Source organism: Homo sapiens, chromosome 5 (genome assembly GCF_000001405.40).
Source record: "Homo sapiens chromosome 5, GRCh38.p14 Primary Assembly".
NCBI classification, from domain to species: Eukaryota; Metazoa; Chordata; class Mammalia; order Primates; family Hominidae; genus Homo; species Homo sapiens.
Window position 1 is genome coordinate 133,023,179 of NC_000005.10, and position 16,116 is coordinate 133,039,294.

General features: G+C 45.1%; 1 protein-coding gene across 15 annotated transcripts in view, besides 2 other annotated features; it reads right to left on the reverse strand.

The window, feature by feature from the left end:
- Positions 1-3,371, reverse strand: part of ZCCHC10 (zinc finger CCHC-type containing 10) — a 29,565-nt gene extending 26,194 nt beyond the window's left edge. For 12 of the 15 annotated variants that reach the window (NM_001308129.2, NM_001308128.2, NM_001300819.3 and 9 more), the window contains exon 1: positions 3,319-3,371. In NM_001308129.2, the coding sequence (NP_001295058.1) occupies positions 3,319-3,359 (41 nt within the window). In that variant the 5' untranslated portion in view covers positions 3,360-3,371. Of the gene's footprint in view, positions 1-3,314 lie in introns of all 15 variants that reach the window. The other 3 variants (NR_125337.3, NR_131767.2, NR_131766.2) reach the window with 1 other exon arrangement.
- Positions 3,131-3,440: an enhancer, noted in NCBI's record as "active region_23097". NCBI's record gives its function as "activates an Ori minimal core promoter by ATAC-STARR-seq in GM12878 lymphoblastoid cells {active_cell/tissue: GM12878}" and the evidence as "EXISTENCE:reporter gene assay evidence [ECO:0000049][PMID:35858748]".
- Positions 3,521-3,650: a silencer, noted in NCBI's record as "silent region_16345". NCBI's record gives its function as "represses an Ori minimal core promoter by ATAC-STARR-seq in GM12878 lymphoblastoid cells {active_cell/tissue: GM12878}" and the evidence as "EXISTENCE:reporter gene assay evidence [ECO:0000049][PMID:35858748]".

Consider the following 16,116-nt stretch of genomic DNA (forward strand, 5'->3'; position numbering starts at 1 on the left):
AAGTCTTCAAGCCAAGTTTGATGACGACTCTGGATGTTGAAGAAGGAGTAGTGGAATCTCATATAAGGTTTAATAGAAGAAATGACCCCAAATAATGCCTAGACTCCATAATTTACTTAATATAGGTAGATGTAAGTACAGTTTACAAGGTAAAAATAATTAAATCAATTATTTCATTCCAATTGATTTAGTAGACTGACTAGTTAAGTCTCCGAAAGATCTACTGAATGAGGAGTTCGTATTTAGACTTTTTTCCCCGTCTTCTTCTATTAGTCCAAAGACCTTTTTTTTTTTTTTTTTTTAAAGAACGATAAAGCCAGGTGCGGTGGCTCACACCTGTAATCCCAGCACTTTGGGAGGCTGAAGTGGGCAGATTACCTGAGGTCAGAAGTTCGAGACCAGCCTGACCAACATGGAGAAACCCCGTCTCTACTAAAAATACAAAATTAGCCAGGCGGGTAGCACATGCCTGTAATCCCAGCTAAAGGAGGCTGAGGCAGGAGAATCACTTGAACCTGGGAGGTGGAGGTTGCGGTGAGCCAAGATCATGCCACTGCACTCCAGCCTGGGCAACAAGAGCAAAACTCCATCTCAAAAAAAAAAAATTGATGATAGTGCTTTCTCATTTCTCATTACTAACTTAAAAACTATTTTAAATTTGTTGTTATGTAAGTAATATATGCTCCTTGTAAATAAAATTAAACCTTTTTGATGAATATAAAATGAAAAGTAAAGGCTCCTCTCCTGCTTTCCCCCCAAATTCTCTTGGACTTCGCAAGCCTCTAAAGGCCCTCCTTTGCTGAATCCCTTGGAGACTTACACTCTGTATACCACAACACTTTTTATAATATGCCACATGTTTGCTTCCCAACAAGACCAGAAGCTCCTTAAAGGTAAGATTTGTCTTTTACAAATCATGTAACTCATGTACCAAATACAGACATATTGTAGATATAAAAATTTGTTTAACTTTTGATACTTCTGAAACAAGAAATAGCAGTATTATTCAGATGCTAAGTCTTATTTTCACTTCATATTTAAAGTGGACATTGGTTTTGCCAATCCTGCATTCATTTAACTCCTCTGACCTATCCACCCTGGTTATCATTGGCTTATGGTCATCCATTCAATTGTACTGAAAGGAGAATAAGATCTCTAAATCAATCAGAGCTTCACAATCCCACAGGCATGGTTTAGCACTGGGCATGTAATCCAATCTAGACCAAAGAACTGCAATCAACTTGAAGCTGAGAGAATAGATAGGACCCTGGATACTGCAGCCATCTTGGGAGCAAAGAATAGAGCCTATCCAAATATGGAGCCAACAACGAAAGAGCAAGCATGAGAGACAGACAGGGAGAAATGGGATCCTGGTGACATCATTTAGCACTCCCTTTAAGTATCACCATCCCATTTTTGATCTCAGAATTGTCTGACTTAATGGTGGGCGCAGTGGCTCATGCCTGTAATCCCAGTACTTTGGGAAGCTAAGGTGGGCAGATCACTTGACATCAGGAGTTCGAGACCAGCCTGACCAACATGGTGAAACCCCGTCTCTACTAAAAAATACAAAAATTAGCAGGGCATGGTGGCGGACGCCTGTAGTCCCAGCTAGTCGGGAGGCTGAGGCAGGAGAATCATTTGAACCAGGGAGGCAGAGGTTGCAGTGAGCCAAGATCGCACCACTGCATTCCAGCCTGGGCAACAGAGTGAGACTCCGTCTAAAAAAAAAACAAAAAAAACCTGTCTGACTTCGAGCCTTCTTCCTTCACCAAGCTTACTACTCTAACTCCCTAAGTCTGTCTGTACATTTGAGGAACTCTTCTTATCAGGCCTGAAAGGGTAGATGGAAAGGAGAAGAAAAAGGGATTATTTGAATTAAAAAATATAAAAAGATATACAGATAAACACACATACATATACTAGCAGACTCTGAGCTACATATAGACATGAAAATGGAGATGGCATGAAATATTTATGAAAAAGAGGCAGATGTCTGGATGTGCAAAGGCTGTTGGAAAAAAAAGCTTTATAAGAAAGGGGTTGCCGCGCGCGGTAGCTCACGCCTGTAATCCCAGCACTTTGGGAGGCCAAGGCGGGCGGATCTCGAGGTCAGGGGATCGAGACCATCCTGGCTAACACGGTGAAACCCCATCTCTACTAAAAATACAAAAAACCAGCCGGGCATGGTGGCGGGCGCCTGTAGTCCCAGCTACTCGGGAGGCTGAGGCAGGGGAACGGCGTGAACCCGGGGGGCGGAGCTTGCAGTGAGCCAAGATTGCACCTCTGCACTCCAGCCTGGGAGACAGAGCAAGACTCCGCCTCAAAAAAAAAAAAAAAAAAAAAAAAAAAAAAGAAAGGGGCATCTGGGGTGACCCTTGCATTATTTGTCAGCTATGAATCTCTTCTGCCACTCTCTCTTGTTCATTAGGCGTAATGGCTATCTTTCAGTTCTGTAAAAAGTAAGTTTCAGGCTCAAAGCAATTATGCCACTATCCGGATGCTCTTTCTCAAAATCCTCGTATGACTGTTCCTTTTTCATCCTTTAAATCTCTGTTCAAATTCCACCTCTTCAGAGATGCCTTTCCAGTCCAACCAACCTAAAGTGGGCCTTTCCCTCTTTCCATCACAACAGCTTACTTCCTTCAAAGCTGTTATCACCAGCTGTATTTACAATTTGTGGTTTATCGACTGTTTCCATCACTAGAATGTAAGCTCTCTGAAAGCAAGGATTTTGTCTTGAACACCTCTATTTATACCCAATGTCTGGCACAGAACGGTAGGAACTAAATAAATTAATATTTATTGAAAGAGAGAATGAGTAGCAAAAGGTGGTAAGATAGCCTGGGAAAGCAATCGGCATTGAAGGCAGGGTGTTCCTAAGGAAGGCGCTAGAATAAGGAAGTAGGAAAAGGCAGCTGGGCTGGACACTGAATAGGAAACTGAAGGTTTACGTCGGCTGGAATAAAGGTGTCGGACCGGGGCTTCAGGGCTCCCCTGTCCACGCGTGGGGTTGGCGGAGGGGCATAAATCACTGAGTGACCAACTGTGGGCGTTCCTTTCAGAGAAACCAAACGCGACAGTTGTCTTCAAACCCCGCTCTGTCCCGTGCCGCAGACTTTACGCGGCTGTCTTCCGCGAAATCGCTAACCCCCGGTCACCAGACTTATCGCCCGGGCCCGAGCCCCCCGGGAGCCAGAAGAGTGTTTGAGAAACGGACATTCTCCGCCGGTCCCAATAGGGGTCCGACACCAGCCCGTTGACGCGCGTTTCCCCGCTCCCAGCCCTCCAGTGGACCCGAACCGGATCCTTACTTACGCTTGTCTCCGGGCTATTAGCCGATGCATGGGAGTCGCCATCTTAGCGCGGTCAAAGCCGGCCGCGCAGGGTTTTGGGAAACTCCTCGGAAGGGCGGGGCTTCCAACCGGGAGGCCGTAGACGTAGGCGGGGCCAGACAGGCTTCTAAGGGGAGGTATCTTAGTGCCGGCTGGTGGGTCGGGAGGGGAGGGGCTGGAGGGTCGGGAGGGGAGGGGCTGGAGGGTCGGGAGGGGAGGGGCTGGAGGGGCTGGAGGGTCGGGACGGGAGGGACTGGTGGGTCGGGAGGGGCCGGTGTCTCCAGTATGGGTCTCGGGTTCTCGGGCCGAACAGGGTTTCAAAGGATGATTACAGGCAAGAACATTATCTGTGGAAAATGAGGACAACATTCTCGAACGAGGGATACACATACAAAGACAAAGAATGAAACTTTGGTGTTCAGAAAACTAGAAGTAGTCTGGAGAATAGAAAGGAATTAGTTGACCAGGATTGAGACCATCAATTGAAAGAATGACTTTAGCAAGCCATGGAGTGCAAACATATACGTTATTTCTGTTTTTTATGTATTTCACAGCGTTGTTACGAGTACTAAATGGGACTGTATAACTAAAGCTGCTTTATCAAGCAGAAAAGGACTATACAAATATTTTAGAATATTTTAGCTGCACCTACATCTAATGTCAGCTCACGGAGCTATTATTCTCTTAAAACCCACGTTCTCTGAAATATATATAATTTTCTGAAGTGTGTGTGTGTTTCTGGGTCATCCATATTTTTTCCTTTTTTTTTTAATTTGAGACAGAGTCTCGCTGTGTCGCCAGGCTGGAGTGCAGTGGCGCGATCTCGGCTCAGTGCAACCTCTGGGTCCCTGGTTCAAGAGATTCTCTTGTCTCACACTCCCGAATAGCTGGGATGACAAGCACGCGCCACCATGCCCAGCTAATTTTTGTATTTTTACTAGAGACAGGGTTTCACCATGTTGGCCAGGATGGTCTCGATCTCCTGACCTCATAATCCGCCCGCCTCGGCCTCCTAAAGTGCTGGGATTACAGGCGTGAGCCACCGCGCCCAGCCATATTTTTTCAATTAATAATTAACACTTAAAATGTTTTAGGAGCTGAGGACAGAGCATTTGAACAAATAAAATCCGTGTACACATGGAACTTTCTACAGACAATGAATGAAGACTATTCTCATGGGCATAAGTACTCTAACGAAAAATATTTCAGAGTAAGGGATTAAAGAGTGATTAGGAGTTAGGGAAGGTGATGATGTGACCTTTGAGCACAACTTGTTCTTCAAAAAAATAGGCTCTTACATGTTGTGTTCTCCAGCTTGATTTTTTCATTCCTCAGTGTACTTATGAAAATGTTTTCCCGGCCAGGCGCAGTGGCTCACGCCTGTAATCCCAGCACTTTCGGAGGCCGAGAAGGGCGGATCACCTGAGGTTGGGAGTTCAAGGCCAGCTTGACCAACATGGAGAAACCCCATCTCTACTAAAAATACAAAAAAAATTAGCCGGGCGTGGTGGTGCATTCATGTAATCCCAGCTACTCGGGAGGCTGAGGCAAGAGATTCGCTTGAACTTGGGAAGCAGAGGTTGCAGTGAGCCGAGATCGCGCCATTGCACTCCAGCCTGGGCAACAAGAGTGAAACTCCATCTCAAAAACAAAAAAAGAAAAGAAAATATTTTCCCATGTCTGCACATACAGATCTAATTCATTCTTTTTATACATTATGTTATGGATTACATGGATATTCCCCAAGTATCCAGCCAGTACCCTATTGCTGAACAATTAGATCATTTACCACAACAACAGAAAGAGTAAATCCCCCGTGTTGCTATAAGATGACATCCTAGTAGGATTGCTGGGTCAAAGGACATGCACCCTGTTTTTCTTTTTTTTGAGACGGAGTCTACCTCTATTGCCCAGGCTGGAGTGCAGTGACACTATCTTGGCTCACTGCACCCTCCGCCTCCCGGGTTCAAGTGATTCCCCTGCCTCAGCCTCCCGAATAGCTGGGACTACAGGCGCCTGCCCCCGTGCCTGGCTAATTTTGGTATTTTTAGTAGAGACAGGGTTTCACCATGTCGGCCAAGCTGGTCTCAAACTCCTGACCTCAGGTGATCCGCCTGCCTTGGCCTCCCAAAGTGCTGGGATTACAGGCATGAGCCAACGCACCGGGATGGCGCTATTGTTTTTTTAAAAAATGTTTTTACCCTTTATGTTTTACCATTGGTTATTGTAACTATTCAGGAAACCTCGGTGCTGTAAATGGTAAAATTGGAATCTGGTACAAAAATCAAGTGTAGGTTTACCCTTCATATGCCTTGGCATAGAACAACAAGAACTCTTCTTCCAGTAGCATAAAAGAATTTAACTAACTTGGCTGGGCATGGTGTCTCACACCTGTGGAATGCAGTGACATGATCTTGGCTTGTGGATCACTTGATGTCAGGAGTTCAAGACCAGCCTGGCCAATATGGTGAAACCCCGTCTCTACTAAAAATACAAAAATTAGCCGTGAGTGGTGGTGCGTGCCTGTAATCCCAGATACTGGGGAGGCTGAGGCAGGAGAATTGCTTGAACCCAGGAGGCAGAAGTTGCAGTGAGCCGAGATTGCACCGCTGCACTCTAGCCTGGGTGACATAGCGAGACTTGTCTCAAAAAAAAAAGAATTACCCAGGCATGGTGGCACATGCCTGTAATCTCTGCTACTCAGGAGGCTGAGGCAGGAGAATCGCTTGAACCCAGGAGGCAGAGGGTGCAGTGAGCCAAGATTGTGTCACTGCATTCCACACTCTAGCCTGGGCGACGGAGCAAGATTCCATCTCAAAAAAAAAAGAAAGAAAAAGAAAAAGAATTTAACTAACTTGGCTAAATAAGGGAGTGGTTCAGAGCAGGGTGACCATTCATTTTGTAAAGAAGAGTGGCTATGCAAGGGGATTTGAGAGTGGCCATTCTGGGCCTCTGTGAGTAAGAAGCTCTGATTCTCCAAATGAAAACAGGATTGGCTCTTTCATCCACCTCTGGGCATGAGGGCATGAGTAGTGCCCGAAACTCCCCAGAATGAGGTGAGAGCTGCTTTCCTTAATTTATTTCCACTTTCCAAGAAGACCTAAAAACAAAATGCTCAATAGTTGTGTCATGTTTCCTTATCTTCAGATGAAGCTGCTTGGGTTCCTTAAAGTCCTCAGGCTTTGATGCAACACTTTGCTGTGACATAGATCATAAGGCTGTGTGATTGTGAGTCCAGGATTTGCTGGCTCCTCTGGTGATTTAAACTAGTCTGCAGTAGAAGAGAAGGAAATTGACATGCCAAGAGAAACAGAGATGAGAGACAGAAAAAGACCTACCTAGACTTGATTCGCTTTTCCTTCGATTATTTGGGGTTATCTCAGCTTCCTCAGTATATTCCTTTTTTTTTTTTTCCTACGAAGTCTCACTCTGTCACCCAGGCTGGAGTGCCCCAGCATGATCTTGGCTCACTGCAACCTCTGCCTCCCGGGTTCAAACAATTTTCATGCCCCAGCCTCCCAAGTAGCTGGGATTACAGGCATGCATCACCATGCCTGGCTAAATTTTTTGTATTTTTAGTAGAGATAGTATTTCACCATGATGGTCAGGCTGGTCTCAAACTCCTGGCCTGAAATGATCTGCCCGTCTTGGCCTCCCAAAGTGTTGGGTTTACAGGCGTGAGCCACTGCACCCAGCCTGCATTTCTTTTTTTATTAAGATAGTTCAAGTTAGGTTTCTCTTTCTTGACCCCAAAGGATCCTTGACTTTATCACCACAGGTAGGGTTTATCCTCATTTTACAAATAAAGGGACTGAGACTCAGGCATGTTAAGAGATTTGTCCAAGGCCCACAGCCTTGAGCTTTTTCCATTACACATCTATTTCTCCCTTCCAGCCAGTTTTGTTTGAGATAACACAGAACCAATTTCCTTATGTCAATTCAGATTCAATTGCAAGAAAAACAAAACAAAACTCTGGCCACATAAACAATGAATTTATTGGAAGTTTATTGGCTAGCTCATAGTATAGAAGTAATTGAACACCCAGGCCTTGCAAAGATCTTGAATCAGAAAAGTTCAGATCTCAGGACTGGGAACTTGTGTGCTTCCTCTTTAAACAATTGCCAGCAGATCATCAGGTTCAACCCCCTGCAGTATCTGTGTACCTAATATTGCCTCGGCTTGAGCTGAGGTCACACCACTGCACTCCAGCCTGGTAGACAGAGTAAGACTCTATCTCAAAAAGAAAAATACTAAATCAAGATTAAGTTTACATGGTGTGTAATGCAAAATAAAACAGTAATTATAATTTGTTTTATGAATAAGAATGGCAAGATAGCCTGTCTCCACAAAAAGCAAATATAGCTTAAGAACACTTTAGGGCCAGGCATGGTGGTTCATCCCGGTAATCCCAGCACTTTGGGAGGCTGAGGTGAGTGGATTGCTTGAGCCCAGGAATTTGAGACCAGCCTGGGCAAAATGGCAAAACTCTGTCTCTATCATATATATATATATATATATATATATATATATATATATATATATATATATATATATATGATAGAGCTATATTACATATATATAATTTTTAATTTGTTTTTATTTATTTAATTTTATTTTTGAGACAGTCTCACTCTGTCACCCAGGCTAGAATGCAGTGGTGCGATCACAGCTTACCGCAACCTCTGCTTCCCAGGTTCAAGCAATCCTCCCACCTCAGCCTCCCAAGTAGCTGGAACTGTAGGCATGTGCCACCATACCTGGCAAATCTGTGTGTGCATGTGTGTGTGTGTGCACGCCCAGGCTGCTCTTGAACTCTTGGGCTCAAGTAACCCACCAGTCTCAGCCTCCCAAAGTGCTGGGATCACATGCATATTAAAGCTTGCTGCAAATTTCCAAGTATTGCCAGCATTTGTAAATGTGTCCACTTTAGGTAATACAGTACACTTGTCCATTTATTATATGTTGGACCAGGATTATTTCTGTGACAAAATATTCATGTTCTGTCTCTGCATTTAAAAACTACTGTTTCTGGCCAGGCGCAGTGGCTCATGCCTGTAATCCCAGCACTTTGGGAGACGAGGCGAGCGGATCACCTGAGGTCGGGAGTTTGAGACCAGCCTGACCAATATGGAGAAACCCCATCTCTACTAAAAATACAAAATTAGCTGGGCATGGTGGCACATGCCTGTATTCCCAGCTACTTGGGAGGCTGAGGCAGGAGAATCGCTTGAACTCAGGAGGCAGAGGTTGCGGTGAGCAGAGATTGTGCCACTGCACTCCAGCCTGGGCAACAAGAGCAAAACTCCATCTCAAACAAACAAACAAACAAACAAACAAACAGTTTCTTTTCCATTTTCTCCAATGAAATTTTATTAGCAGTCACTTAAAAATCGATGTTCTGGCTGGGCGCGGTGGCTCACGCCTGTAATCTCAGCACTTTGGGAGGCCGAGGTGGGCGGATCACTTGAGGTCAGGAGATCAAGACCATCCTGGCTAACACAGTGAAACCCCATCTCTACTAAAAACACAAACAATTAGCCGGGCGTGTTGGCAGCTGCCTGTAATCCCAGCTACTCGGGAGGCTGAGGCAGGAGAATGGCTTTAACCTGGGAGACGGAGCTTGCAGTGAGCCGAGATGGTGCCACTGCACTCCAGCCTGGGAGACAGAGCAAGACTCTGTCTCAAAAAAAAAAAAAAAAAAAAAAAAAAAAATCGATGTTCTGAAGGGCTATTTTTTTAAATTTTAATTTAATTTAATTTTTTTTGAGATGGAGTCTTGCTCGGTCGCCTAGGCTGGAGAGCAGTGGCGCGATCTTGGCTCACTGCAACCTCAGCCTCCCGGGTTCAAGCGATCAAGCAATTCTCCTACCTCAGCCTCCTGAGTAGCTGGGAATACTAAAGAGCAGTGGTGCATTCATAGCTCACTGTAGCCTCGACCTCCTGGGCTCAAGCCATCCTCCAGCCTCAGCCTCCTGAATAGCTGGGATTACAGGCATGTGCCACCATGCTTGGCTAATTAAAAATTTTTTAGGGAGGGGGATAGAGACAGGGTCTTGCAGGTTCACGACCACATAGGCTGGTCTTGAACTCCTGGACTCAAGTGATCGTCCTGCCTCAGCCTCCCGAGTAGCTAGGACTACAGGTGCTCACCACCAGATCCAGCTAAAGGGCTTTTCATCATTGATAAACCCTCAAAGTATATTTTAATCCCTGGCATTTTTATGTGAACATACCTACTGCACTGCATCATGAATTTTATATGTGGTAGACTGATTCGTTAGGGCTCCTCAAATTGCAGGTGAACCAAAATCCATGAAAAAAAAGTGTATTTAAAGGATGGGAAGATACTGCAAGACGCCAGAGCAGGGAAACTAAGCACCTCAGCCCAGAACCAAGGATGTGATGCCTTTTGTCAAGACAAACTAGCCTCTGCTTTCCTCCAAGTAGTGATCTATTTCCTTCAGGCCTCTCTGGCTGAAAGTATGGCCACTGAAACCTTGGGAACACATTCTTATGATTCCACAGCCTGTCAAAGACAAAACCCAAGCAAATAAGGAAATTGATTTTATTCAGGCTGTTGTGATAGGGCAAGCACCTTAGATCTGAAGGTCAGACTCTTGACAGGGTATGTTTGTCCGACACTTATAGGGAGGAGTCGGTAATTCACAGGTGGGGTGTTTTATAGTTGGAATTGTTTTTGTGATCAAGCTGAATCTCAATCAGCTGAACAGGAAATATCTCTATGGCTAGCTAGTCTCAGAGGGACAAACAGTTCCCCTTATGAGACAAATAATGCAAATTTGGAGAGTCTGTGTCTGGTCTTGCCATAAGTAAACAGTGGTATCATCAGTGGTCTTATCTAAGTCCTATCCAGAAGAGTGATTCTTTGTAGTAAGCTGGGACAAAGAGTGTGTGTGTCAGCGTGGGGGTGAGGGGGGTTGGGGGGGCAGGTGGTTCTTAACCATCTCAGTTTTCCAGAAGTGTAGGACTTACACAGAGTTCAATGTTATGAAAACAGGAGAAAGACTATTCCACCAGCTGAGACACTCTGAAGAGAGCGCCATGTGCTTGGTCACATGTTTATCTGCTTATCTCTCCTTCAAATCATTGTGGTCCAGTGAGAGGAGGTGCTGTGAATAATTCAGCTTGTGTTATGCCCACTCCTATTGTTAGCATAGTAGAGAGAAGGGGGCCCGGGAAGATCAAGAAAAATCACCACCACAGTGGGCAAACTGTCAGAATTTAATTCCAGTGGAACTTAATTTGAAAACTTTTTCTTTTTCTTTCTTTTTTTTTTTTTTTTTGAGACAGAGTTTTGCTCCTGTTGCCCAGGCTGGAGTGCAATGGCATGATCTCAGCTCACCGCAACCTCCACCTCCCGGGTTCAAGTGATTCTCCTGCCTCAGCCTCCCAAGTAGCTGGGATTACAGGCATGCATCACCACGCCCGGCTAATTTTTTGTATTTTTAGTAGAGACGGGGTTTCTCCATGTTGGTCAGGCTGGTCTCGAACTCCTGACCTCAGGTGATCCGCCTGCCTTGGCCTCCCAAAGTTCTGAGATTACAGGTGTGAGCCACCATGCCTGGCCGAAAACTTTTTCTTATAGCAGAAAAAGACACAAACCTTTGTTCAAAATTAGATACAAAAATAGATAAAATTAGATAGTGGCACTGTAATGATGCTCCTAAGTTACCATGAATCTTTTTCTTGACCTTTAGACAGTCCAAGAAGTCTCACGTGACATCCCACGTTTCCTTCCTCATTCAAATCGCCCCTCCCTCTTTCAAATCTCAATTCTATAAAATTGAGATGGCAAGGCCAGGCGTGGTGGTTCACGCTTGTAATCCCAGCACTTTGGGAGGCCGAGGCAGGCAGATTACCTGAGGAGGCGGGCGGATCACCTGAGGTCGGGAGTTAGAGACCAGCCTGACCAACACGGAGAAATCCTGTCTCCACTAAAAATACAAAATTAGCCGGGGGTGGTGGCACATGCCTGTAATCCCAGATATCCAGGAGGCTGAGGCAGGAGAATCGCTTGAACCTGGGAGGCGGAGGTTGTGGTGAGCCGAGATCATGCCATTGCAATCCAGCCTGGGTAACAACAGCAAAACTCCGTCTCAAAAAAAAAAAAAAAAAATGAGACGGCAAATGTTAAGAAGCGTTGGTAATATTTCAAGTTACTCTGTTTTTGACAATTCTTTTGGCGGTACTTCCTAATTTCCCATCCTACCTCAAGGTGTAATTTGGCTTAATGTGAGCTAGAGGTCACAGAAATCCCTGTTCCAGAGATCCCTGTTCCCAACACCTAAGAGCTTTAAAGCCTCAAGATATCTGAATCAGTAAGGTGGGAAAACAGCCTATTGCAATAATGCTCCAGGGAAATTGGATTCCTTGGGCCAAAATAAGCAAATATAGACAGGAAGTCTTAGAGCTTAAGAAACACAGAAGAGTTTTTAAATCCTCACCTTTCCATTCCAACCAGCGAAAATGCAAACAGGGAAAAAGAGCTCAGAAATCTCTTCTTGTGAATAATTGGATTTCCAACCAGTAGTTAATTGGGCTTAATGTAATCACAGGTTATTCAATCAGGCTGCTATTGGTGAAATCTACGTGGTTTTCTTTTTTTGACCCTTAAAATTGTAACCCAGGTGTTACCTAGGGGCTTTGTTGAACTTGGAGAACTAGGTAATCTTGGCTACAACATCTAGGGTCTAAGGTAGTTGAAAGACGACTCTATACTTTTAGTGGTTTAATTTCACGTAGGCTTCACTGTCTCTGTTCCTGCTCCAGGTCACATCTGAATAAGAGGCTGCATCTCATTTGTGGGTGCTCACTAGAAATCCCACTGCACCAAGCATCTCATGATTTTATTGAAGGCTTGTGGGCTGCAGTAAAGGGTTGTCACATGCCAGATGATGTGACCACTGTCTCTCTGGCTCTCAATGACTTTCCTCACTTCCTCTCTGATCAGGACCCCTTCCAAAATCCCACAGTCCCTACATATTGCCTTGTGAAACTCCCTGGAAAGTTATGTAAATAAGTGTCCCCTCCCCTATATAATTTAACTCAAAGCCCACCCAGGCCTATTTGGATTCCTCTGCTCACTGGTACTCTGGTACCAACTTTTCCTCTAATTACATCAACACTGTGAGATATCTTTTAGGGTATTTTTTTTTTTTTTTTTTTTTTGAGATGGAGTCTGGCTCTGTCGACCAGGCTGGAATGCAGTGGCGTGATCTCAGCTCACTGCAAGCTCCACCTCCCAGGTTCATGCCATTCTCCTGCCTCAGCCTCCCAAGTAGCTGGGACTACAGGCGACCACCACCACGCCTGGCTAATTTTTCTATTTTTAGTAGAGATGGGGTTTTACCATGTTAGCCAGGATGGTCTCGATCTCCTGACCTTGTGACCTGCCTGCCTCGGCCTCCCAAAGTGCTGGGATTGCAGGCGTGAGCCATGGCACCCAGCCAGGGTATTTTCTTTTTTTTAGATGGAGTCTTGCTCTGTTGCCCAGGCTGGAGTGCAGTGGTGCGATCTCCTCTCACCGCAACCTCCACCTCCCAGGTTCAAGAAATTCTTCTGCCTTAGCCTCCCAAGTAGCTAGGATTACAGGCACGTGTCACCATGCCTGGCTAATTTTTGTATTATTAATAGAGATGGGGTTTCACCATGTTGCCAGGCTGGTCTTGAACTCCTGACCTCAAGTGATCCACCCGCCTCAGCCTCCCAAAGTGCTGGGATTACAGGCATGAGCCACCACGCCTGGCCATTTTAGTGTATCTTTCTAGTTCCTGATGATAGTTCTCTAAAAACTGGATGTTGGTGACCCTGTACCCCTAGCCACACTTGACTGAACTAGTTTGACTGATCTGAGCTGGGTCAATCAAGTCCTCTTACCTGAGAATTTTATGTTAGAACTAACGGTCTTTACTTTTCATCCCTGTGTAGGGCTGGTCCTGAAGCATGTATATTCAGAGCTGAGGGGCAGCCAGTGTCTGGAGAGAGAGAAATCTGGTCTACAGAGAAAGAAGGCTGAGGCAGGTGGATCACTTGAAGTCCGGAGTTCAAGACCAGCCTGGTTAAAATGGTAAAACCCTGTCTCTATTAAAAATACAGGGCCAGGCGTGGTAGCTCATACCTGTAATCCCAGCACTTCGGGAGGCCAAGGCGGGCAGATCATGAGGTCAGAAGTTCGAGATCAGCCTGGCCAGCATGGTGAAACCCTGTTTCTACTAAAAATACAAAAAATTAGCCAGGCATCATGGCACATGCTTGTAGTCTCAGCTACTTGGGAGGCTGAGTCAGGAGAATTGCCTGAACCCAGCAGGCGGAGGTTGCAGTAAGCTGAGATTGCGCCACTGCACTCCAGTCTGGGCAACAGAGTGAGACTCCACCTCAAAAAAAAAAAAAAAAAAAAAAAAAAAATTAGCCGAGCATGTTTGCACATGCCTGTAGTCCCAGCTACTTAGGAGCCTGAGGTGGGAGGATCTCTTGAACCCAGGAGGTGGAGATTGCAGTGAGCTGAAATGGCACCACTGCACTCCAGCCTGGGTGACAGAGCGAGACTCTGTCTCCAAAAATAATAATAATAAATAAATAAAAATAAATGTTTTTTGTAGAGACAGGGTCTCACTATATTGCCCAGGCTGGTCTCAAACTCCGGGGCTCAAGTGATCTGCCCACCCAGACCTTCCAAAGTGCTGGGATTACAGGTGTGAGCCACCGTGTCCGGCAACCATCACTACTACCTGTTTCCAGAACTTTTTCATTATCCCAAATAGAAACTCTGTATTCACTTAAAAATGATTCCCCAATCTGGCTGGGCACAGTGGCTCATGCCTGTAATCCTAGCACTTTGGGAGGCCGAGGCTGGCAGATCACAAGGTCAGGAGTTGGAGACCAGCCTGACCAACATAGTGAAACCCCATCTCTACTTAAAATACAAAAATTAGCTGGGCATGGTAGTGGGCGCCTGTAATCCCAGCTACTCAGGAGGCTGAGGCAGGATAATTGCTTGAACCTGGGAGGCGGAGGTTGCAGTGAGCCAAGATGGTGCCACTGCACTCCAGCCTGGGTGACAGAGCAAGACTCTGTCTCAAAACAAACAAAAACCCCATCCATTCTGCTTAGCCCCTGGTAACCTCTATTTTACATTCTGTCTCTGTGAGTTTGCTTATTCTAGGTACCTTATATAAGTGTAATCATATCCTATTTGTCCTTTTGGGTCTGGCTTATTTCACTTAGCATAATAATTTCAAAGTTCAGCCAGGTGGTGGTTCACACCCGTAATCCCAGCACTTTGGCAGGCCAAGGCAGGTGGACTGCTTGAGCCCAGGAGTTTGAGACCAGCCTAGGCAACATGGCAAAACCCTGTCTCTACAAAAAATATAAAAATTAGCGAAGTGTGGTGGCATAAGCCTGTAGTCCCAGCTACTCAGGAGGCTGAGATGGGAGGATCACTTGAGCCTGGGAGGTGGAGGTCTCAGCAAGCTGAGATTGTGCCACTGCACTCCAGCCTGGGTGACACAGTGAGACCCTATCTCAAAAAAACAAACAAACAAAAAAACAAAATAATGTTTTCAAGGTTTATTCATGTTCTAGCATTTATCTGGATTTCATTCCTTTTTATAGCTCAATAATGTTCCATGTATGGCTGGGCATGGTGGCTCCCACCTGTAATCTCAGCACTTTGGGAGGCCGAGGTGAGTGGATCACCTGAGGTCAGGAGTTCGAGACCAGCCTGGCCAACCAACATGGTGAAACCCCGTCTCTATTAAAAATACAAAATTAGCCGGGCGTGGTGGTGGGTGCCTGTAATTCCAGCTATTTGGGAGGCTGAGGTAGGAGAATTGCTTGAACCCAGGAGGCAGAGGCAGAGGTTGTAGTGAGCAGAGATCGTGCCATTGCACTCCAGCCTGGGCAATAAGAGCGAGACTCTGTCTCAAAAAAAAAAAAAAAAAAAAAAGAGTCTATGTATATAGCACATTTTGTTTACTCATCTGTTGAGGGACATGGGTTGCTTCCATCTTTTGGCTATTGTGAATAATGCTGCTATAAACATTGGTGCGCAAGTATCTGTTTGAGTCTTTGCTTTCAATTCCTTTGGGTATACAGGCACTTGTGAGTGGAACTGCTGGCTCATAGGTAATACTATGCTTGGCTCTTTGAGGACAAAGTATAATTTTTATTTTTTTGTTTGTATTTTATTAAGGAAATGTCTGAATCATAAAAGTATAAGTTTTAAAAAGTTATGAACATGCAAATATATAGTGAGGGTATGTCAGTGATTTATTTAACTGACTCATGAGACAGCCAGCAGGAGAACAAAGCTGATTCAATAGAGAATTCAAGAGACTCGTGAAAGAAAGAATGCTGAAGTTAGATTTCAAAATTAGATATAAAACTTGTTATTCTACAGAGCATAAAAACATACTTTTGGAGAATATTTTATCTTTTTCTTTCTTTTTTTTTGAGACGGAGTCTCACTCTGTAGTCCAAGCTGGAGTGCAGTGGCATCATCTCAGCTCACTGCAGCCTCCATCTCCCAGGCTCAAGTGATTCTTGTGTCTCAGCCTCCCAACTAGCTGGGACTATAGGCACGCACCACCATGCCTGGCTAATTTTTTGTATTTTAGTAGAGACGGGGTGTCACCATGTTGCCCAGGATGGTCTCAAGCTCCTGAGCTCAGGCTATCCACCTATCTCGGCCTCCCAAAGTTATGGGTTAACAGGCATGAGCCACTGTGCCCAGCCTTTTTTTTTTTGAGACAGAGTCTTGCT